Below are 23834 nucleotides of genomic sequence, written 5' to 3' on the forward strand. Positions count from 1 at the left end.
CACTTGAGCCCAGGAGTCTGAGACCAGCTTAGGCAACACAGTGAGACCCTGTCCCTACAATTACAAAATAAACTAGCTGGGCGTGGTGGTGCACACCTGTAGCCCCAACTACTCAGAAGGCTGAGTTGGGAAGATCACCTGAGCTGCCCAGGAGTCTGAGGCTGCAGTGAGCTGAGATTGTACCACTGCACCAATCCTGTCTCAAAAAAAAAAAAAAAAAAAAAGAAAAAAAAAAAGAAACTACAAGAACATATCTGGATTTTGATGTAACAGAATACAAAGATTACTACATTTGATTTTTAGGTCAACAAATATGACTAAAGTCATAACAGTAAAATATTTTAAATGGATTTGGAAATAAAAGAAAGTTTGTTCATTTATATTTTATTTAAGAGCTGTGCCCAGTTTTATCATCTCACAAGAATGAAGCAAGGGACAAAGGTAAGTGCCACGCTCCCTGGCCACTGGGTTCCTGGCAAGCTCCCAGCCTGGGTGCCAATCTCCCTTCAATGTACTCCTTCTTCCCCGGAGTGCAGAAGCGTATGAAGACAGTTATGACATGGACACATGCATGAGCTATTATACATAATTACAAAAGCTGATTCTGTCATCACCGCATCTTGTCTCATCAGTAGGAGCGAATGGCTGGGGGGACGGTGGCACAGTCAGCCTCGTTCAAAGTTTTGTCGATTACGGGTCTATATCCCAGGGTGACCATGAAAAGAAGAGTCAGTGGTAAGTTAAGCACAAAAATGTACAAAAAACCATCTCTTGTGTTCCTTTTGAAAAATTTTAACTATAAAAGTAGATTTACAGCATGTGAACTTAAAGGTATTTGCTGCAGTATTTTCCAATAACAAATTCAAAAATGATCTACATGCACAACAGGGGACTGTAAATGATGGCAGATTCGTAGAGTGGAACAGAGCAACGAAAATGACACTGTACCAGATTCTCAGTGCTTTACAATAATGCTCCCGTCATGAGCAGTGGGAGAACCCTTGTCTATACCAAGACACTTTATGTTTAAACCATCTACTTCCAGTTTTTCTACTTCAAAGTTTAGTATTTATATAGGTTGAACATCCCTAATCCAAAAATCTGAAATTCTCTAAAATCTGAAACTTTCTGAGCACCAGCATGACATTCAAAAGAAATGTGCTATGGAGTCAGATCTTCCAATTAGGGATGCTCAGACAGTAAGTATAATGCAAATATTCCAAAGTCTGAACAAGCCTGAAATCCAAAATGCTTCTGGTCCCAAGGATTTCAGAGAAGGAATACTCAAGCTGTGTATTAAATATACACACACAGGAAAAGGTAGGCACATATACAAAGAAATTTAAACCATAATGGGTCGTCTCTGGTTAGTGAGCTCTTATTTCAATCTCTTTGTACTTTCTAAAATGAGTATGTATTTCTTGAAAAATCACTGAAACTGGCTGGGCGTGTTGGTTCATGCCAGTTGGAGAGGCCAAGACAGGTGGATCACTTGAGCGCAGGAGTTCAAGACTAGCCTGGGCAACGTGGAGAAACCCCATCTCCACAAAACATATGAAAATTAGCCAGGCATGGTGGCATGTGCCCAGGAGGCTGAGGTGGGAGGATCACCTGAGCCTGGGGGAGGTTGAGGCTGCAGTGAGACGAGATCAAGCCACCACATTTCAGCCTGGGCAACAGATGAGACTCTATCTCAGAAAAACAAAAACAAAACAAAAAACCCGAACCCGGAAACATTAAAAATAGACTTGTGCTAAGCGAGTGAAGTGTGATTTCTATACACTATCAGGAAATGGCCTTCATGAGAAGTCCTGAAAATGACCTACTGCCCGAATCACAGACACACTAGATGATAGTGAGAGTCCAAAGGTAACTTCCACAGACACAGCTAAGTGATTATACGACTCTTACAAGCTATGAAAAGTTTAAGGGTAAAAGCTTTCTATCTTCATTGTTTCTGAATCTTAATGCCCAGCGGAAATGCCACACGGGTGAACTGTGCTTGTGTGGAACAAGGCTGCGACCCCCTACCACACCCTCGGCTGGCTGTTCCCAGGATGCTGCTCACCCCAACCCCACCTCCATTTCTGCCCTTCTCTGCTTGCTCAGTGCCCAGGGGATGCTAAAGACTGCACCACATCCCCTCAGCTCCCCTGCAGATGCTTCCAGTTGGCCCAGCCCGTGGGAGGAGAGGGGAGGCGTCTCTTCTGGGCTCCCTTGACGTGGGACTGGTTTCTGGTAGTGGCTGTGTCCCCACCCCACAGATGCTGACTTTCTCACTAGGTCTACAATCATCTCCTCCCCTGCCACCAGGCCTTGGACACTTGCTCCTGCCTAGTGACGTCCATCTGACCCACACCACGGAGCAACCCTTCCTTAAGGCTCCTCTGAACCACCTGCAGGAACTGGATTCTGTTTCCAGCCCAAAGCCCAACTGCTGTCAGAGTGCCTTTTTCAGCGGTGCCTCAAATCTGTCGGGAGTTGATTTAAATCTGGCCTGCTCCTCCCTGTTCACCATCAGCAAGGCCAGCCCGCAGGCCTGGGCGGGGCCGTGTGGGTGCTGGGCTGTGGTGAGAACGAGCTCCACACTGACCTTCCCAGTGCCAACGTCCACATAGGACAGGGTGTGCTTCCTCCAGTGCTCCTCAAAGGGCTTCTTCTGTTGCCCCTGGATGGGCTTGGAGTAATCGTACTCATCAATCTGCACCTGAGGCCAGAAACACCATCACGTTTCTTATTACTCTAACAGAGCAATACAGAAAAAACACAGCAGACATTAACATGATCTAAGAGACAGATGCCCTAGAACTCATTCCATTTCCACTTCAGCCCAGGAGGTTGGCACCATCAACATGTTCAGAACCCACGGAGGCCGCATGGCTGGCCAGGGGGTGTGCAGCCAGCAGTGAGTCCACAGTAATCCATGTCCGCATGTTCCCTTAAGCATCCTTTATGTACCTAAGAGTTTATCAAATACTTTGTCTTTTTGCTCCATGTGCTGGGAGACTACCTCAATCTTTTCTTTCAGCCTGTTTTTATTAAAAAAAAATTTTTTTTTTGAGACAGGGTCTGGCTATGTCACCTGGGCTGGAGTGCAGTGGTGTGATCACAGCTTGCCGGAGCCTTGACTTCCCAGGCTCAATCAATCCTCCTGCCTCAGCTTCCTGCGCTACCACCGCGCCTGGCTCATTTTTTATTTTTTTGTAGACACGTTTCACCATGTTGCCCAGGCTGTTCTAGAACTCTGGGGCTCAAGTGATCGGCCTGCCTCAGCCTCCCAAATGCTGGGATTACAGGTGTGAGGCACTGCACCTGGCTTCTATTCTAATTAAAACTCGCTGTCACCAACTAAATTTATGCACTGGCCAGGCACAGTGGCTCATGCCTGTAACCCTAGCACTTTGGGAGGCCGAGGTGGGCGGTTCACTTGAAGTCAGGAGTTCAAGACCAGCCCGGCAAACATGGTGAAACCCGTCTCTACTGAAAATACAAAATTAGCCAGACATGGTGGTGCGTGCCTGTAATCCCAGCTGCTTGGGAGGCTGAGGCAGGAGAATCACTTGAACCTGGGAGGCAGAGGTTGCAGCGAGCTGAGATCGCCGCCACTGCACTCCAGCCTGGGGGACAGTGAGACTCCATCTTAAAAAAAAAGTAAAATAAATTTATTATTCTGTATTCTGGCAAACACGGATTCACATACTTTGCAGGAAACTCTTAATACGTACAAGGAGACAAGAGCAAGTTCTGAGCAGTGATCACAGCCATTAGCATATTCTAGTGGAGGGTAAATCAGTAAAATTTCATGGTGAATAAAAATGATTTTCCCATTCACCATGTTCAGCTGACTGGAAAGGCTGCCACCAGCCGCCTACACACGGTCCTGAACCAGCCTGTGCGCCTGCCTTGTGGAGCCTTTGTCCTTTTGCTGATGTGGTTTATCCTGAACTTGCATTTGCACCCCAAGCTTCCCTTTCTGTTGTTTTTTGCTATCATATGGGAAAAACTCTTACCAGGCAGAATCCAACACGTGTGCTCTGCACAAAAATCAGTTCATCTGAAGAACAAGTGACCACAGGGCAGGCTCTATAATCAAACCACAGGGCAGGCTCTATGATACCTTTTCCAAACCACAGGGCAGGTCTGAAACGGTGGCTTACTCGTTAATAAACTGGCATTTCCTCCACAGGGCAGGTTTGAAATGGTGGCTTACTCGTTATTTAATAAACTGGCATTTCCTCCACAGGGCAGGCTTGAAACAGTGGCTTACTCGTTATTTAATAAACTGGCATTTACTTCCTGGTCATGCCACTCTAGCTGCACTTCTAACCTTGGCCTTCTAACAGCAAAGCACATTGGCTTGGAGATGCCACTGCTGGCATCAGTGGATGCCGACCCAAAGCAAGGAAAAGGTCACGGTGATCCAGAAGATGGCGAGAACCCAGGGATCAAAGTTACCAGGGGGAAAAAGGGATTTTTTGGATTTACTTCTGGGGCAACGAAATAAAATGCAGAGAAAATGCAGGGGTGGGGCTGAGTCCCACCAGGCGGGAGGAAAAGGCAGGTGCAGGTGGGCGTGGTGAGAAGGCCGACCTTGTAGCCTTCCCTGGCGTGCGTGCCCCGTGACTCCTTCCGCGCCTCTGCTCCGTAGATGGTCTGCAGCGCACACAGCATCAGGTTCTGCAGCTCCAGGGTCTCCACCAGGTCCGTGTTCCAGACCATTCCTGGGGACACAAAAAGTTCCATCAGGGGCAGGCGGGACCCAGTCACATGGGCCCTCCGAGCTGTCAGCCTGGGCCTGCTAGTCCATGGAGTCACTGGTTGTGGCTTTATAGCTGTGGGCCAGGACCCATCCAGACAGCAAGCACGGAACTAAGTCAGCACTGACGGGACAGACACCAGCCCACCCTGCAGAAGGCAGGGCCCAACAGTGTGCACAGAGCCCACTGTCTGCTGACCCCGGTCGAACGTCTTCAGGTGCTTTAGGTCTCCGTAGAGCTTGCTGATTTTCCCACAACCTTCTTGCAACACGCTTCCCACACGGAACACGGCAGCATGATTTTGCATTTAATATTTTGATATTACAAAATATTATTTGTAAACTTTTAATCCATAGAAGCAGCCATATCAAGAACTGCTTAATTTTTAGACCTGTTGTTTTGCATTTCATTTAAAAGTTAAGTAAATTAAACAGAAAAATTAGGAAATTCAGACTATGAGTTTATTACTCTGAACTTAAAAATGAAGTTTTGACTAAAGCTTCTGAATAAATAAATGTTTCTATTACATACACATCTTAGACCCACACACATCCTTTCCAGCGGGATACAGCCAGGGTCCAGGACTCCAAGCAGACTGCCTGTGAGGCACCATGTTCCATACAGCTCCACGGCCAACCAGGCAGTGCTGCCTCCCCACACCCCTGGCGGGACTCCTGACGCGGGGTCTGGTGGTGAACGTGACACAAGCCAGCAGCCCTGTGGTGATACACACTAGGAGGAGCTGAGCAGAGCCCTGGTGATGGTGGTGTTGGAGCCACAGGTCTTCAAGGAGAGGGAGGGGCGTGGGTGGCTGGGGCCCTAGGCCCATCTGGCTACTGTCTTCTGCCTATCTTGTAGAAGCTCCTTGTACACTGAGTTCCTTCATAGTTTTACTGTGATGAGACATGTGCTATGCAGTGGGCCTGAAGTTTACTTAGGTATGCTGGGAAGTAGGCGTCAGCTTTTGCTTCCTGTGGGACAGACAGGCACCACCTCAGTGATCCCTCCTCCTCCTTGCTTCTCCCTCTAACTGTGCTTTGCTCCACTGACCCTAATTGTCTCTTCCTCTACCAATGCACCTTCATGGTTTAATTTGGAAATTTCATCTGATTTTCCTTAGACTCATACATAATCGTAACACTGTAATGCACATCAACCTAATGATTTTTCAGGAAGAACAAATGAAAAAAATTGCATCTCAGAATCTAGTATTACATTCTTTCATGTCCATTAGCAGCCACGTTTTCATATCCTTTTTTTTTGTATTTCTGGTTACATTATTTCAAGGCATTTTTAATTTTTTGTTTAAAATATGAATGAGGTATTTACTGATGTCTAAGCAGATTACTGCTTGCACATTGCAAAGCTACTGATTTTTAGATACAAATCTCTTACCCAGACACCTTACTACATTCTTGTTTTGTTTCTGTTAGTTTTTCAGTTTATTCCCTGGGAATTGTTTGGAAATTCTATCTGTAAATAATGACAATTGTATCTATTCCTTTTCAATATTTACTGCTGAGACCAGCTCGGTTGTGGAGACCCTAACCCAGTGGTGCTAGAGGAATTAAAGACACACACACAGAAATACAGCATGTGAAGTGGGAAATCAGGGGTCTCACAGCCTTCAGAGCTGAGAGCCTTGAACAGAGATTTACCCACATATTTATTGACAGCAAGCCAGTGGTAAGATTTACTAAAAGTATTCCTTATGGGAAACAAAGGGACGGGCTCTGGCTAGTTATCTGCAGCAGGAGCATGTCCTTAAGGCACAGATCACTCATGCTATTGTTTGTGGTTTAAGAACGCCTTAAACGGTTTTCCACCCTGGGTGGGCCAGGTGTCCCTTGCCCTCATTCTGGTAAACCGACAATCTTCCAGCATGGGCGTCATGGCCATCACGAGCATGTCACAGTGCTGCAGAGATTTTGTTTATGGCCAGTTTTGGAGCCAGTTTATGGCCACATTGGGGGGCCTGTTCCCAACATGTCCCCTTTGTTTTGCAAAGCGATAAAAGCAAAGGCAGCTTTGTCATGGTGGGCTACTTCTTGCAGAGTCAGGATCCACATCTGCAGACTATACAAAGACAACACAGATTAAAAGCACAATCTTCATTGAAATCACAGAGCTTCCAAGTGTTTTTATCCATTTTAATGGGTTACCAGCTGCTAATCTGTCTGCAGCTCCTTCAAGCACTCCAGTTCCTGGCATTAAGGTCAGGTGTGCCGGGATGCTTCAAATATCTGTTCTTTCAATTTTGCAATATCCAAAGACAAGTTTGTAGAGTGTCCTTCTCGATGCTTTTTTATTCTTTCCCAAATTTTGATCTTATTAAGAGCTATTAACAGTTTCCACAAATCCTTATGTTTAGCTCCTACAAAGGGCCATATCATTTGAGGTTGAGGTGCCACTACACCGCCATGGTTCCAGATAATAGGAATTCTTGCCGTATTTCTTATCATTTCTACCATCTGACCATTTTGTTCAGACCAGCTGAACATAGTGGGGCCGTGGCACACAGACTGAGAGGTGCAATTCAAGCTAAACATCCCCGTAGGGGATCAATCAATAATGATTCCATAGGAATCGTTGCCAGCACCCCTGCCTGTTCTGCAATGCAATCTTCCCAAACATGTACGTTCATTTTCTCTGACTGGGTCCAATCCTGTTTACAGATAGGTTTTTGAGGGCGGTATGCCTCAATTATAGGAGCAGATTTATCATGGTAAATACTGAGATCAGAAAGCATGTGTAACTGTGTCATAGAGTGATTACATCCAGGCATTCTTGCCAGCCAAGATTGATAAATATGCCCAGTAAGTATAATTGTTCTCTGTGTCAGCCCTTGTTGAAGGAATACTCATGGCAATGGTGATCACCACTATCATAGCTACCATTAAATTACTCATTTTGACTGGTTGTCCCACTTACCTCAGGTTTTCTTCTGCCATCTGTGACAGCTTCTTGATCTGACCTCAGGTGGATGGCTGTGTTTGACGGGTGTTGCTCGTGACAGTTGGGGTCCTCCTCAGCATCAGTCTTGACATGGCTGCAACTGGGGGGGTCCTCGGGATCCTCCCGGAATCTCTTCCTCAGCATTCGCTCATGATAAGGTTTCAGGTGTCTTGATGGTTCAGTCCTGGAGAAACATAAGCATAACCTCTACCCCAAGTTATTATTTTACCTATTTCCCAACTTTCTGTTATCAGGTCTCTCCACCAAACCAGTTGTTCTGCTTCTGTCTTTGCAGCTGGTTTCTGTAGATGCTGTTCAGCTGCTGATAAGATCCGGCCTTTAGGCAGGCTCAAAAAATTTAAAGTTAATAATGCGATTCAATTGCTTATGGGGTGTCCTGTAGTACCTGTTTTCCCCCTTTTGCTTCTGCAACTGCTGTTTCAGGGAGAGATTCATTCTTTCCACTATGGCTTGTCCTTCAGAATTATATGGGATATCAGTAATGTGTTTAATATTCCGTATAGAGAAAAATTTAGCTAGAGCTTGAGAATTAGGTTCCAATCCTCGAGGATTAACTCCTCCTGTAAAAGATGAGGAATGTACCATTTGGCAAGTTGGGCATCGCTGGATAATAGCTTTAGCTTCTTTCCAGGTACTGCTGTATCTGCGTTTGAGACCAGAGGTATTAACACGGGTTAAATTGTGAAAGTGTCCAGCATTAGATATTGCAGTAGCAACTAGGCGATCAGCCATTTGATTCCCTGCAGTCAAAGGTCCTGGAAGAGGTGTATGAGCCCTAATGTGAGTGATGTAAAAAGGGTGCATTCTACTCCTAACTGCTGTTTGCAATTGCATAAATAAAGTCATCAGTTGTTCATCTGTATGAAATCGTAACTCAGCATTTTCAATTAATTGTGTCGAATGAACCACATATGAAGAATCAGAAATCACATTAATAGGCATATTAAAAGCAGTCAATACCTCAATTACAGCTACAAGCTCCGTTTTTTGAGCTGAAGCATAGGGTGTCTGGAAAACTTTACCTTTCGAGCCAGAGTAAGAAGCTTTACCATTACTAGACCCATCTGTAAAAACATTCTCCACACGTTCAATTGGTTTAGTTATTTTAGGGAGAATACAATTAGTTAATTTCAAAAATTGAAACAGTTTCATTTTAGGAAAATGATTATCGAGAATACCCAAAAAGTCAGCTAAATGGGTTTGCCAAGTAAGACTATTTATAAAATCTTGCTGTATTTGTGCCTTCGTGAGAGGGACAATTTTTTCAGGATCATATCCATGTAATTTAACAATCCGAGTTCTCCCATTTCCTATCATAGTAGCAATTTGATCCAAATAAGGAGTTAGAGGCCATGAATTAGTATGTGGAAGAAAAAGCCATTCTACAAGATCTTGCTCTTGAACAATAACACCAGTAGCTGAATGTGGAGTTGGAAAAATTAGCAAATCTAGAGTCTTCTCTGGATCTATTCTATTTATTTGGGCTTTATGGACTTGCTTTTAGATCAGCTGCATCTCGAGTCTTCTCTGGATCTATTCTATTGATTTGGGCTTTATGGCCTTGCTTTTCAATCAGCTGCAGCTCGAGTCTTCTCTGGATCAATTCTATTCATTTGGGCTTTATGGCCTTGCTTTTTGATCAGCTGCAGCTCGAGTTTTCTCTGCATCTATTCTATTGATTTGAGTTTTATGGCCTTGCTTTTCGATCAGCTGCAGCTCGAGTCTTCTCTGGATCTATTCCATTTATTTGGGCTTTATGGCCTTGCTTTTTGATCAGCTGCAGCTCGAGTCTTCTCTGGATCTATTCTATTTATTTGGGCTTTATGGCCTTGTTTTTCGATCAGCTGCAGCTCGAGTCTTCTCTGGATCGATTCTATTGATTTGAGCTTTATGGCCTTGCTTTTCAATGAGCTGCAGCTCGAGTCTTCTCTGGATCGATTCTATTGATTTGGGCTTTATGGCCTTGCTTTTCGATCAGCTGCAGCTCAAGTCTTCTCTGGATCGATTCTATTTATTTGGGCTTTATGGCCTTGCTTTTTGATCAGCTGCAGCTTGAGTCTTCTCTGCATCGATTCTATTGATTTGGGCTTTATGTCCTTGCTTTTTGATGAGATGCAGCTCGAGTCTTCTCTGGATCATTTCTATTTATTTGGGCTTTATGGCCTTGCTTTTCGATCAGCTGCAGCTCGAGTCTTCTCTGGATCGTTTCTATTTATTTGGGCTTTATGGCCTTGCTTTTCGATCAGCTGCAGCTCGAGTCTTCTCTGGATCGATTCTATTTATTTGGGCTTTATGGACTTGCTTTTCGATTAGCTGCAGCTCTGCCTCAGCTTCTCTTGTTAATTACCGAGGGCTGGTGAGACTAGGATCTCCTCTAAGGATAGAAAACAGATTACTCATGGCATAGGTAGGAATGCCTAGAGCAGGTTGTATCCAGTTAATGTCCCCTAGTAATTTTTGAAAGTCATTTAATGTTTTCAATTGATCCCTACGTATGGCTACTTTCTGTGGCACAATGGTAGTGTCATTTACTAAGGTTCCCAAGTAGGAGTAAGGAGTAGTAATCTGAATTTTGTCAGGAGCTATAATTTAACCAGCACCAGAAATTGAATTTTGCAAGTGATCATAACACTGGAGTAATATTTCTTGAGTAGGGGCAGCACAAAGTATATCATTCATATAATGAATAATGTAACACAGTGAAAATGTTTTACGAGGAGGTTCAATTGCTTGCCCTACACAAATCCGGCAAATCGTTGGACTGTTTAACGTGCCTTGTGGCAACACTTTCCAATGAAAACGCTTAGCAGGCTGCAGGTTGTTTACTGCAGGAATTGTAAATGCAAACCGTTCACAGTCTTGCTCAGCTAAGGGGATAGTAAAGAAACAGTCTTTTAAATCTATGACTATTAAAGGCCAATTTTTTGGAATCATAGCAGGAGAAGGCAATCCTGGCTGTAATGTCCCCATAGGTTGTATAACTGAATTAATGGCTCTTAAGTCAGTTAACATTCTCCATTTACCTGATTTTTTCTTAATTACGAAAATTGAAGAATTCCAAGGGGAAAATGTTGGAGCTATGTGTCCCTTTTCTAATTGTTCATTAACTAAGTCCTCTAAAGCCTCCAGTTTCTCTTTACTCAGCGGCCATTGTTCCATCCAAATTGGCTTATATGTTAACCATTTTAAAGGTATAGGTTCTGGAAGCTTAACAATGGCTGCCATCAAGAATAATATCCTAAACCTTGGCAGGAACTGTCTTTCCACTTGAAGTGGTTCTTTCAAACCTTGCAAATTTTTTCCTAGTCCCATACCAGGGACATACCCCATTTCATGCATCATATGCTGACTTTGAGGGCTATATAATTGCTCTGGAATTAGAACTTGTGCTCCCCATTGTTGTAATAAATCTCTTCCCCATAAATTTATAGGTACAGAAGTTATAATTGGTTGAATAGTCCCAGGTTGTCCATTGGACCCTTCACAATGGAAATATAACTACTTTGATATACTTCAGGGGCTTTACCAACTCCAACTATGTTAAATTGAGCAGGTTGAATTGGCCACGCGGATGGCCAGTGCTGTAGAGAAATGATTGAAATCTCCGCTCCTGCATCTACCAAACCTTAAATTTCTTTCCCTGAATAGTTATTTCACAGGTAGGACGTTTATCAGTAATTTGATTCACCCAATAAGCTGCTTTGCTTTGTATATTTGTACTTCCTCCTGTTCGTTTAGTTTCACTTTTCCCCATTTCCACATATGGCACAATCAGGAGCTGTGCTATATGCTCTCTTGGCTCTGTTTTCCAGGGAACAGAAGTAGATATAACACTTTGAGTTTCCCCATTGTAATCTGAATCAATGACTCCTGTGTGTATTTGTACTCCTTTTAAACTTAAACTAGACCTTCCTAAAAGTAATCCTATTGTCCCCGCTGGCAAGGGTCCACAGACTCCTGCTGGGACCTTTGGTGGGGGTTCCCCAGGCAGAAGTCTCACAGCTAATGTGCAGCATAAATCTACTGTGGCACTACTGGCTGTGGCGGGGAACAGACATTGTACAGGGGTGAGGGAATGGCCTGAGCCGGAAACGCTCCGGTTTGGAACGGGACCCAGGACGGGCCCCTCATGGCATTTCCCAAAATCGAGTTCCCATCTTTATCAAACTTAGAGTGACACTGATTAGCCCAACGTTTTCCTTTTTTACATTTTGGACATATTTCAGGCTCAGCAGTTTTCTTTTTTCCCCTATCTGGCAGCCTGACTCACTCATTTTTTCTACGTTCTTGTTTAGTATGACCATGCTTCCCACAGTTAAAACAAGCTCCAGGCAACAAAGGATTTCCTTTATCCACTCTCAGTCCTGCCATTGCCTGTACCAACAAAGTAGCTTTATGCATATTACCTCTGATACCGTCACAGGCCTTGATATAATCAACTAAGTGTGCGTTCCCTCTGATAGGTCACAGAGCAGCCTGGCAATCGGGATTAGCATTGTCGAAAGCTGATAACTGCAGCACTATATCCTGAGCAGCCGAATCTGCAATCACCTTTTTAAGAGACTCCTGTAACTGAGCTATAAAATCTGCGTACGGTTCTTTTGGTCCCTGTTTTACTGCACTAAAGGAAGGGTATTGTTCTCCACCTGAAGTGATTTTTTCCCAAGCTCTAATGCACACTCCTCTAAGCTGTTCTACGGCATCATCCTGCACGACCACTTGTGCATCTAAACCAACCCAGCCGCTGACCCCCAAAAGTTGGTCTGCAGTTATATTAATTTGAGGTTGGGCCTGGGCGCTGCAAGTAGGCTGAATGGAAGCTTCACCTGCCCACCAAGTTTTACATTGTAAGAACTGAGCAGGAGTTAGACAAGCTCGAGTAAGAGTGTCCGTCAGTAGGAATCATCCGACTGGAAACAGCAACATTCTTTAACAGTCCCATTACGAAATGAGAACCTGGTCCATATTGATTGATAGCCTGTTTAAACTCCTTAAGTAATTTAAAGGGAAAAGGCTCAAATGTGGCTATATTTCCCTGTTGATCTGCGGGGTGTATTCTAATAGGGAACTGCCAAGCCTCTAAATCACCCTCTCATCTAGCTTGCTGAATTCCTACCTGAATAGAACTGAGAGGGGTCGCTCAAGGTGCTGCTCGGACAGTCACTGGAGCAACTACTTTTCGCCCACTGTCCTCTGGAAATGAAAGATCTGGAGGGTCAGGCCACTCTTTTTCTTCAAAATAAGGAGGGGGTGCAGAAGGGTAGGGATGAACCTCTCCCTCCTTTGCCGCTTTAGCTTTAGTTGGCAAACAAACCTGCTCTGTTATTTCTTCTGTTACTTCGTTATACTCTCCTTCCCCCTTATTATTAGCGTGAAAAGGTTCCAAGGTGGAACGAACCAGAGCCCACACGTCCCATTGTTACCCTGATGCTTCCGAGCTCCCCTTCTTACTCACCATGGGGACTGTGTAAGAGTACTCAGTGTCCTCCAGCTTAGAACCAGAGCCCACACGTGTCCCATTGTTACCCTGATGCTTCCGAGCTCCCTTTCTTACACACCATGGGGACTGGGTAAGAGTACTTGGGTGTCCTCCGGCTTAGAACCAGAGCCCACACGTGTCCCATCGTTACCCTGATGCTTCTGAGCTCCCCTTCTTACTCACCATGGGGACTGCATAAGAGTACTCGGTGTCCTCCAGCTTAGTTCCAAGTTTTCTGTCGCTCCGGTGACCCTTCGACCTGGATTCGAGCCCCCATGTGTGGGCGCCACTTGCTGAGACCAGCTCGGTTGTGGAGACCCTAACCCAGCGGCACTAGAGGAATTAAAGACACACGCACAGAAATATAGGATGTAGAGTGGGAAATCAGGGGTCTCACAGCCTTCAGAGTTGAGAGCCTTGAACAGAGATTTACCCACACATTTATTGAGAGCAAGCCAGTCATAAGATTTACTAAAAGTATTCCTTACGGGAAACAAAGGGATGGGCTCTGGCTAGTTATCTGCAGCAAGAGCATGTCCTTAAGGCACAGATCGCTCATGCTATTGTTTGTGGTTTAAGAATGCCTTAAGAGACCCTCTCTAAAACAAACAAACAGCTCTCCCCTCTCCCCTCTTTCCACGGTCTCCCTCTGATGCCGAGCCAAAGCTGGACTGTACTGCTGCCATCTCGGCTCACTGCAGCCTCCCTGCCTGATTCTCCTGCCTCAGCCTGCCGAGTGCCTGCGATGGCGGGCACACGCCGCCACGCCTGACTGGTTTTCGTGTTTTTTGGGTGGAGACGGGGTTTCGCTGTGTTGGCCGGGCTGGTCTCCAGCTCCTAGCCGCGAGTGATCCGCCAGCCTTGGCCTCCCGAGGTGCCGGGATTGCAGATGGAGTCTCCTTCACTCGGTGCTCAATGGTGCCCAGGCTGGAGTGCAGTGGCGTGATCTCGGCTCGCTGCAACATCCACCTCCCAGCGGCCTGCCTTGGCCTCCCAAAGTGCCGAGATTGCAGCCTCTGCCCGGCCGCCACCCCGTCTGGGAAGTGAGGAGCGTCTCTGCCTGGCCGCCCATCGTCTGGGATGTGAGGAGCCCCTCTGCCTGGCTGCCCAGTCTGGAAAGTGAGGAGCGTCTCTGCCCAGCCGCCATCCCATCTAGGAAGTGAGGAGCGCCTCTTCCCGGCCGCCATCCCATCTAGGAAGTGAGGAGCGTCTCTGCCCGGCCGCCCATTGTCTGAGATGTGGGGAGCGCCTCTGCCCTGTCGCCCCGTCCGGGATGTGAGGAGCATCTTGGCCCGGCTGCCCCGTCGGAGAAGTGAGGAGACCCTCTGCCTGGCAACCGCCCTGTCTGAGAAGTGAGGAGCCCCTCCGCCCAGCAGCCGCCCTGTCTGAGAAGTGAGGAGCCCCTCCGCCCGGCAGCCACCCCGTCTGGGAAGTGAGGAGCGTCTCCGCCAGGCAGCCACCCCGTCCGGGAGGGAGGTGGGAGGGTCAGCCCCCTGCCTGGCCAGCCACCCCGTCCAGGAGGGAGGTGGGGGGGGTCAGCCCCCCGCCCGGCCAGCCGCCCTGTCTGGGAGGTGAGGGGCGCCTCTGCCCAGCTGCCCCTACTGGGAAGTGAGGAGCCCCTCTGCCCGGCCAGCCGCCCCGTCCGGGAGGGAGGTAGGGGGGGTCAGCCCCCCGCCTGGCCAGCCGCCCCATCCGGGAGGGAGGGGGGGGTCAGCCCCCTGCCCAGCCAGCCGCCCCATCCGGGAGGTGAGGGGCGCCTCTGCCCGGCCACCCCTACTGGGAAGTGACGAGCCCCTCTGCCCGGCCAGCCGCCCCGTCCGGGAGGGAGGTGGGGGGGTCAGCCCCCCGCCCGGCCAGCCGCCCCGTCCGGGAGGGAGGTGGGGGGGTCAGCCCCCCGCCCGGCCAGCCACCCCGTCCGGGAGGTGAGGGGCGCCTCTGCCCGGCCGCCCCTACTGGGAAGTGAGGAGCCCCTCTGCCCGGCCACCACCCCGTCTGGGAGGTGTACCCAACAGCTCATTGAGAACGGGCCATGATGACAATGGCGGTTTTGTGGAATAGAAAGGGGGGAAAGGTGGGGAAAAGATTGAGAAATCGGATGGTTGCTGTGTCTGTGTAGAAAGAGGTAGACATGGGAGACTTTTCATTTTGTTCTGTACTAAGAAAAATTCTTCTGCCTTGGGATCCTGTTGATCTGTGACGTTATCCCCAACCCTGTGCTCTCTGAAACATGTGCTGTGTCCACTCAGGGTTAAATGGATTAAGGGCGGTGCAAGATGTGCTTTTTTAAACAGACGCTTGAAGGCAGCATGCTCATTAAGAGTCATCACCACTCCCTAATCTCAAGTACCCAGGGACACAAACACTGCGGAAGGCCACAGGGTCCTCTGCCTAGGAAAACCAGAGACCTTTGTTCACTTGTTTATCTGCTGACCTTCCCTCCACTATTGTCCTGTGACCCTGCCAAATCCCCCTCTGCGAGAAACACCCAAGAATGATCAATTAAAAAAAAAAAAGTTGAAAAACAAACAAACAAACAAACAAACAAAAAAAAGAATGCCTTAAGCAGTTTTCCGCCCTGGGTGGGCCAGGTGTTCCTTGCCCTCATTCTGGTAAACTGACAACCTTCCAGTGTGGGCATCATGGCCATCAAGAGCATGTCACTGTGCTGCAGAGATTTTGTTGTTATGGCCAGTTTTGAGCCAGTTTATGGCCACATTTGGGGCCCTGTTCCCAACAATTTACCTCATTTCTTTTTTTGCTTCTTACTATTAATGGCCGGAGTCAGCAGAAAAATCCCTTCCCCCAACGAAACACATTTCCATGAGTACAGGAAGCTCTGTTTGTTCAGTGCCGACTCCAGCATCTCATGGAGCCTGGGATACAGCAGGCACCAAGACGCAACTTGTATGGTGGGAATGCTTCTAGTATTCTCACTTCAAACTATCTCATGGATTTGCCATTTCTGTATCTGAAGGCATGTTCCCATTCTCTAATGCAATGGTTCCTTCTTTCCCAGCTGGCCTTCAACCCTACAAAAGTACTGCAGGGCATCACTCAGCCTTCTGTGCCTTAGTCATGCTGTTCTTCTCACTGTTCCACAAAGCCTCCCTCAAGCCCAGCCTCAGTTGAAGACTGAAGGGCACAGGCCTCTGAAAATGTGAGCAGGGAACCTGTTCTCTTGTGTCTAACACCAAATGCCTTTCAGAATAGGACTAAAGCAATAGACTTCTTTTTAGAAAATATGCAGAAATCCTTGCAAATAGTAGACAAGAGATCTCATTCATGGACAAGAATCCTTGTTATTAGAGGAATTCAGTTTCTTAGACTGACTATATATCAGGTTCTCCACGGCCCCATGGCTAATGGCTGCCATACTGGATGGCAAACACTCGGAACATTTCCATCATCACAGATGGTCCTACTGGACCGACTCCCAGCGCACAGGCCACAGATCAGTTTCCACCCGCCGCCCACTCTCCCTCTCTTCCGAGTATATTTAGGGCCAGCAACAGGTCCAGCTTAAAGACATTTCCAAGCTGCTGGAAGCCAGGCATGATGACATGATCAATATCCGGGCCTGAGATGTAAGCACCAGTGTTGTGTTGAACTCCAGGAAACCTCTAAGAGAAAGCTGCCCTGCTGGGGACTGAGCTTCTCCGGCGGTCCTGCGGTTCCCTCTCCTCCACGCTGTGACTCATCCATGACAGCCATCGACGGTCAGGTCACGGAGGTCACACCCAAGCACACACGAGTGAACCACAGAAGGCTGTCCTGGATGCCAAGCAGTCACTAATTCTGCCCTAGTCTGCTGACCTTCTATGTGGAAAAGAAGTGCACTTCTGTATAGTTCAGGCCTCCTGGTCTCTTTCATATTCTTGATACGGTGAGGAGTACGTCCTACCGCTGTTTACCTCCAGATTCTGGTGCAGCCTTGTGTATTTATCGCAGCACTAGTCACAACAGCAAAGTCATGGAATCAACCTAAGTGCCCATCAACGGATGACCGGATGAAGAAAATGTGGTACATATATACCATGAAATACTACTCGGCCATAAAAAAAGAATGCAATCATGTCTTCTGCAGCCACAGAAGATGGCTGCAGGATGGATCAGGAGGTCACTATCCTAAGTGAAGTGACTCAGAAGGTCAAGTGTCACACATTCTCACTTGGAAATGGGAGCTGAACGGTGAGTACACATGGAGTGGACTAGCAGAGACTGGGGGCTCCAAAAAGCGGGAGGGGTGGGGTTGAACAATTACCTACTGGGTACAACACACACGACTTGGGTGACAGGTACATGAAAAGCCCAGACTCCACCACCTCCCAGTACATCCACACAAAACTGCACCTGCATCCCCCTAGATCTAGTTTTAAAAAAACAAAACCAGTGCAGGGCCAGGTATGCAGCCCGCCTGCTCACTCCAGAGCGAGTCCAGGCTCTTACCTTCTGCATGCTGAGTCGCAGTTCTCATGTTCTTATGCTTCCATCAGCAAATCTCAATTTGTCAAGATTCATGACAGATTCTTCCCCAGCGTTTGGTTTAATTGGAGGGACTTTATCTCCTAAAACAAAAAAAAGCTAGAATTTTACTTTTGAAAACTTTTTTAAAAAACCAAATGGATTTAGAATGACACAGAAACATGTAGCACAGCCACTCAAGGAGCTTGGAAACTGTGTAAGACTCCTGAGCTAACACACTACCAGCCCACCCTACGTCTGAGGCCATCTGTTGAGTTGGGGCCAATTTTAAAGAACATAAAGGCAAAATTGTTGGCACACAGTAGATATCCATTAAGTGATCTTAGAGTGAATAAACTAGAAATCATCTCTAAAATTAAAAAATTAAATGTAGGCCGGGTGCGGTGGCTCACGCCTGTAATCCCAGCACTTTACAAAGCTGAGGTAGGTGGATCACTTGAGGTCAGGAATTCAAGAGCAGCCTGGCCAACGTGGCAAAACCTCATTTCTACTAAAAACACAAAAATTATCTGGGTATGGTGGTGCGCGCCTATAAACCCAGCTACTCAGGAGGCTGAGGCACAAGAACTGCTTGAACCCGAAAGGTGGAGGTTGCAGTGAGCTGAGACTACGCCACTGCACTCCAGCCTGGGCAACAGAGTGAGACTCTGTCTTAAAAAAAAAAAATTAAATGTATACAAATGTATATACATTAAGTGTATATAAGTGTCACTCCACTAAGGGAAAAAAAAGACACCTTCCAGATGGTGGTCCCGAGGGGCCGGCCACCCCACTGTCCTTCACATCAAGGGGAGGAAGGTGGCCGCTGTGTGCATGAAAGTCACCTGCTGATTTGGACTCTTGTCCAAAAGATTTGCAATTTTTTTTTTTTTGAGATGGACTCTGTAGCCCAGGCTGGAGTGCAGTGGCACCATCTCGGCTCACTGCAACGTCCACCTCCTGGTTCAAGCAATCCTCCTGCCTCAGCCTCCGGAGTAGCTGGGACTACAGGAGTACACCACCATACCTGGCTAATTTTTGTATTTTCAGTAGAGATGGGTTTCACCATGTTGGCCAGGCTGGTCTCGAACTCCTGACCTCAGGTGAACCACCTGCCTCGGCCTCCCAAAGTGCTGGGATCACATGTGTGAGCCACTGTGCACAGCCAAGATTTGCAACTCTTGTGTTTCTAAGATGTCTTGAAAAAAACTTTAAAGTTTTTTTTTATAACATTATATATATTTTCTTCAACAGGTAACACATGCAGGAGGTAGGATGTATGAAATGCAGGAGTCAAACAGGCCCCACCCCGCCCACCACCTCTCCACAGGACCAGGCTATGGGTCTCTTGAGGTTCTGCTCAAATGCTTCTAGGCTCGCTGGTGTTTCTCCTCCTTTTGATAATAATGCTTTAAAAATTGATCATTCAGTAAAATTGACTTTTTTCTTTAGGTGGACAGTTCTACAATTTACTTTTTCTTTTTTTTGAGACAGTGTCTCCTCCCTCTCTTGCCCAGGCTGGAGTACAGTGGTGTGATCTCGGCTCACTGCAACCTCTGCCTTCCAGGCTCCAGCAATCCTCCAACCTCAGCCTCCCAAGTAGCTGGGACTACATAGGTGTGAGCCACCATGCCCAGCTAATTTTTGTATTTTTGGTAGAGACGGGGTTTCACCATGTTGCCCAAGCTGGTCTCAAACTCCTGAGCTCAAGCAATCTGCCTGTCTCGGCCTCCCAAAGCGGTGGGATTATAGGCGTGAGCCACCGCACCCAGCCTCAGTTCTACCAATTTTAACATATGTATAGACGCATGTAACTACTTCGGGAGGCTGAGACAGGAGGACCTCTTGAGGCCAGGAGTTCAAGACCATCCTGGGCAACACAGGGAGACCCTATCCCAATGAAACATTTTTAAAAATTAGCCAGGTGTGGTGGCGTGCACCTGATCGTACCACTGCACTCCAGCCTGGGCGACAGAGGGAGACTATCTCTGAAAAAAAAAAAAAAAAAAACAAAAAAAAAACACATATATATACACATATATATGTGTTTTTTTTTTTTTGCAGGGGGGCTTGGGGGAGAATAGTGATGCTACAACCATTTTTTCTTTCCTTTTCATTTTTAAAAATTAAAGCATAAAGATACAGTAAAATAAACTCATCATTTTTAGTGTAGGGTTTTTCAAATTTTGACACACACAGAGTTGTGTCTGTATCAGCACAATCAGGAAACAGCCTCTGGCAACCAGCAATCCCTTTTCTTCCCTAGATGTGCCTTTTCCAGAATGTCGTATCAACAGAACCACAGGCGTGCAGCCTTTTGAGTCTGACTCCACAGCATTCTGCGTGAGATGCTGCATGCGTGAGCGGTTTCTCAGATGTAAAGTATAGGGTATTCTTACAAAATGTTCTTTTTTGCATTTTCAAAGAAAGAGCAGCTCAAAATTTCTACATTGCTCTGAGAGAAGTGATATCGGTCCTCACCGCTACAAAGTGCGGGGCTATGGAGTGAGATAAGCACTACCTGCGGCGTCAGGAACGATGGACCTGAACTCCGCCTTCGCCGATGATCAGCAACGGCTGGGGATGAGACGCCAGCTCTGCGTGTGCTGGCCTCCCGAGCAGTGGTCAGATCCAGAGACAGAGTGTCTGAAGTAAGCTACCCTTTTAATACTATCTGCACCTTTCTAACTACAGATACAAAAGGGGGCATGTTTATAAGTTACGGCCGTGCTAGTTTTTATTTCACTTGAATCCATACAAAAAGCACCTGTTGTATAAAAACAGCAGAAATGATGCTAACAGTTAACACCAGAGAAAGGTAACGGGAAGAACATGGGCCTGGGGTCCCACCATCCTTGCCACGCAAACATCCACCAGTGCCTCATCCACCTCACACTGTTCTGAGCACACGAGGCTGCATGACCACCGTGAAGATGTCTGGAGTTAGGAGCGATGCTAACTGCCCCGTTCTTAGTGCACGTAAGACTCACACTCCCACACGTGGTATTTCCTTTACTGCACATTATTTGACGCTATCATGAAAAGAAAACCAGCAAGTGAAATCCAATCTGTCCGTAAAGGGTGGGAATCCTGTTCACTGTAAGTCATCCCTTCTCCTCTAATAGAGGCTAGCTGTACTTTGTTTCTAGAATGGCCTAAATTACTTTTCTAAGTACCAAGAAGTCACATATTCATTCATGCCAACTATTTAAGATATTTCATTGCAAATCAGTGATTTTTATCAGGCAAGTAAAAATAACAACTTCCTAATAGTGCTTTTTCTAAGCAGAACATAACGACTGCAAAATAATTTTTTAAAAAAACGTAACCCCAAAAATGTCACCTTAACTGTTAAGATCCCCAACCAGCCTCTATCTAGTCTCAACATTACCACCATATAATTTCTGGATTTCTCAGTTTAATCACTTCTGGGGGAAAAACCCAGACTACCTCTATATGATCACTAAGCAAATTTCCAGTAAGAAATCAAGGCTTTGTAACCTGGCTGGGTGCAGTGGCTCATGCCTGTAATCCCGATACTTTGGGAAGCTGAGGCAGGACTGTTTGAGTCTAGGAGTTCAAGACCAGCCTGGGCAATATTGTGAGACCCTGTCTCTACAAAATAAATTTTTGTTAAATTAGCCGGGTGTGGTGGTGCACATCTGTAGTCCCAGCTACTTGGGACTCTGAAGGTTGAGGTGTTGAGGACTGCTTGAGCCCGGGAGGTTGAGGCTGCTATGACTGTGCCACTGCACTCCAGCCTGGGCTGACCCTTTCTCAAAAAAAAGAAAAAAGACTTTCTAACTTCCTGCGCCTTCTCAAATAGTCTGGCTCCTGAAGAAAACACTTACCAGGCCTGCATGACTCTTCGATGCTCAGGGCACATGCCTGACCAAAGACAACCAAGTCCAAGAGCGAGTTTGCCCCGAGCCGATTGGCACCATGTACCGAGGCACAGGCGGCCTCCCCACAGGCGTACAGGCCGGGCACAATCTGATCCTGGCCATTCACGTGCCTCAGGACCTGTGGAAAGGAAGATTTCAGGTGAAATGTCAAGGTGCTCATGCCTCCACCAGCCCACCTTCCCCAATAGGGTGTCTGTGCTGCAGGTCAGAGAGAGAGGGAAGTAGGCCCGGCGTGGTGGCTCACACCTGTAATCTCAGCACTTTGGGAGGCTGAGGCTGGTGATCACCTGAGGTCAGGGGTTCAAGACCTGTCTGGCTAACATGGTGAAACCCCATCTCTACTAAAAATACAAAAATTAGCGGGGCATAATGGCGGGTGCCTGTAATCCCAGCTACTAGGGAGGCTGAGACAGAAAAATCACTTGAACTTGGGAGGCAGAGGTTGCAGTGAGCTGAGATCGCGCCACTGCTCTCCACCCGAAGCGACAGAGTGAGACCCCACCTCCAAGAAAAAAAAAAAAGGGGAAGTAAAGACCGTATCTAAGAGGGAAGTAAGGACCATAGCTACTCTTCTTCAGAGGGAAGCTTCCGAAGGTATCCCCCAGTTTCCCCTCTGCCCCTGAGCACCTGCTGTTACAAGCAGGTCAGAGGACCTCCAATGTCAGCATCTGCGACTGTCCCCCGTGTCCCATGTTCCCGGGGCCCTCACCACCTGTGCTCCGGCTCAGACCCAGGAGCACGGCAGGTGGAGGAACATCAGCAGGGGAGACTGATATTCCAGACTCTTCCACTCGCTGTTCACCTCTTCATCTACACAGGGAAAGTAACAGCTTCCACCCACCTCGCCCAACAAGGAGCTCTGGTGACCTTGGGCAGACACGACTCCTCCCCAAGTCCACCCGCCAGGCACTGAGGCGAGGGGCTACCTCAGCCCGGGAGGTCTCTGGACCCCAGGCCCGGACCAAGGCGGCGGAGGGGACGCCCAGCAAGCCCGCGGGGTCGTGACCTTCACCGGACTACCTGCTAAGGACCGAGCTCCCCGGACCCCCGAGTCCGCCCCACGGCTCCCCCTTGCACTGGCGCAGGGCTCTCCCAGCCCCTTCCAGATCCCGGGACAGGGGGCGCAAGGACCTGGCGCCCGCTCTGCTCGGGCCCGCTGGGGACCGTCCCGCTCCTACCGCCGCCTCGGCCCCCGCCTGCCCCGCCCCGGTCCGCGGCACGGACTCACCGCCTTGGCCAGCGCCAGGCGCGGAGCGCTCAGCAGGCGCGACAGGACCCAGACCGCCATGCCTGTAGTCGCCTCCGCGCAGTCCCGCCAGTCCCCGCGCAGACTACGCCTGCGCACCACACCGGGGTCGAGCTTTGGGGGGCAGGAACCGCGGCGGGTGGGATGCCGCGCCTGCGCACGGGGTCAAGCGGGGCCATAGTGGAGGCGCCTCGCCTGCACAAAGCGCACCTGCGGACGGTGGCGCTGTGGGGATAGGGAGGTCCCGCGCTCCCTGACCGATGTAGGGCGGGCCCTATTCCGGGGAGGTGTTGGGCACCAACATTTTTAAAGCCCCGTGGGTGGTTCCCTGGGATCGCCCAGACCGAAAGGCCCCGAACGTCCAGATCGCAGGGAATGGGGTCGGAGGGGCGGCGCTCGTCCGCGGAGGCGGGCGGGAGCGGCCACGGGCCTCTGGCCTCTAGTGAGCGGGTGTGACCCTCGGTCTCCGGCCTGTGAGGTGAGGGAGCGATCCTCAGCCGTGTCCCTAGCCTCTGGCTTCCGGCTAATTTTTAAATTTTTTGTAGAGGCGGGATCTTGCTGTGTTGCCCGGGCTGGTCTCGAACTCTTGGCCTCAAGCGATCCTCCCTCCTCGGCCTCTCCAAGTGCGGGGATTACGGGCGGAGCCACCGCGCACGGCCGTGGTCAGCTTTGAAAGCTGCGTAGATCCCTTTGGCTCATACGCCTTTCTGCTAGCTTACCCTGATTCTGCTTCTGGTTCAGATAGTATTTTAATATTTCTAGTGTGTCTTTTTGTAAGATATCTGAAATCTTTTTGTGGAATGAAGTGGCATGAAAAATAAACCAATAATCGTTAGTAATTACGTTTCCTGTCTTTTCACTTTAAATTATTAAAATCTTCGTTTTGTGCATGTTTAACAATTTTGAGTTATTTTAGTAAATTTGCAAGGGTTCAGTCCCATTTTATTGATATTTGGGTTGTTTCCCATTTTTGCTCTTAATAAATAACACTGTACAGAACATATTTGTGA

General features: G+C 47.8%; 1 pseudogene across 1 annotated transcript, besides 6 other annotated features; it reads right to left on the bottom strand.

Annotated features, from left to right (window-relative positions):
* Nucleotides 1–368: 368 nt before the first annotated feature.
* SDHAP3 (SDHA pseudogene 3) lies at nt 369–22943 on the bottom strand (annotated as a pseudogene). The gene is made up of 7 exons (NR_003263.2): nt 22807–22943; nt 21525–21696; nt 17659–17777; nt 13396–13545; nt 4591–4721; nt 2594–2707; nt 369–698 (listed from the first exon to the last, which is right to left on the bottom strand). The product of NR_003263.2 is annotated as an SDHA pseudogene 3 (transcript).
* Nucleotides 4229–4729: an enhancer, noted in NCBI's record as "H3K4me1 hESC enhancer chr5:1575932-1576432 (GRCh37/hg19 assembly coordinates)". NCBI's record gives its function as "activates a minimal SCP1, AML or CMV promoter by ChIP-STARR-seq in naive H9 embryonic stem cells {active_cell/tissue: H9 hESC(naive)}" and the evidence as "EXISTENCE:reporter gene assay evidence [ECO:0000049][PMID:30033119]".
* Nucleotides 4730–5230: an enhancer, noted in NCBI's record as "H3K4me1 hESC enhancer chr5:1576433-1576933 (GRCh37/hg19 assembly coordinates)". NCBI's record gives its function as "activates a minimal SCP1, AML or CMV promoter by ChIP-STARR-seq in primed H9 embryonic stem cells {active_cell/tissue: H9 hESC(primed)}" and the evidence as "EXISTENCE:reporter gene assay evidence [ECO:0000049][PMID:30033119]".
* Nucleotides 21172–21673: an enhancer, noted in NCBI's record as "H3K4me1 hESC enhancer chr5:1592875-1593376 (GRCh37/hg19 assembly coordinates)". NCBI's record gives its function as "activates a minimal SCP1, AML or CMV promoter by ChIP-STARR-seq in naive H9 embryonic stem cells {active_cell/tissue: H9 hESC(naive)}" and the evidence as "EXISTENCE:reporter gene assay evidence [ECO:0000049][PMID:30033119]".
* Nucleotides 21674–22173: an enhancer, noted in NCBI's record as "H3K4me1 hESC enhancer chr5:1593377-1593876 (GRCh37/hg19 assembly coordinates)". NCBI's record gives its function as "activates a minimal SCP1, AML or CMV promoter by ChIP-STARR-seq in naive H9 embryonic stem cells {active_cell/tissue: H9 hESC(naive)}" and the evidence as "EXISTENCE:reporter gene assay evidence [ECO:0000049][PMID:30033119]".
* Nucleotides 22631–23140: a silencer, noted in NCBI's record as "silent region_15885". NCBI's record gives its function as "represses an Ori minimal core promoter by ATAC-STARR-seq in GM12878 lymphoblastoid cells {active_cell/tissue: GM12878}" and the evidence as "EXISTENCE:reporter gene assay evidence [ECO:0000049][PMID:35858748]".
* Nucleotides 22826–23120: an enhancer, noted in NCBI's record as "tiled region #3968; HepG2 Activating DNase unmatched - State 1:Tss, and K562 Activating DNase matched - State 1:Tss". NCBI's record gives its function as "activates a minimal TATA promoter and a strong SV40 promoter by Sharpr-MPRA in HepG2 cells, with weak activation in K562 cells {active_cell/tissue: HepG2 | K562}" and the evidence as "EXISTENCE:reporter gene assay evidence [ECO:0000049][PMID:27701403]".

The sequence above is a fragment of the Homo sapiens genome, chromosome 5 (assembly GCF_000001405.40).
Source record: "Homo sapiens chromosome 5, GRCh38.p14 Primary Assembly".
Lineage (NCBI taxonomy): Eukaryota > Metazoa > Chordata > Mammalia > Primates > Hominidae > Homo > Homo sapiens.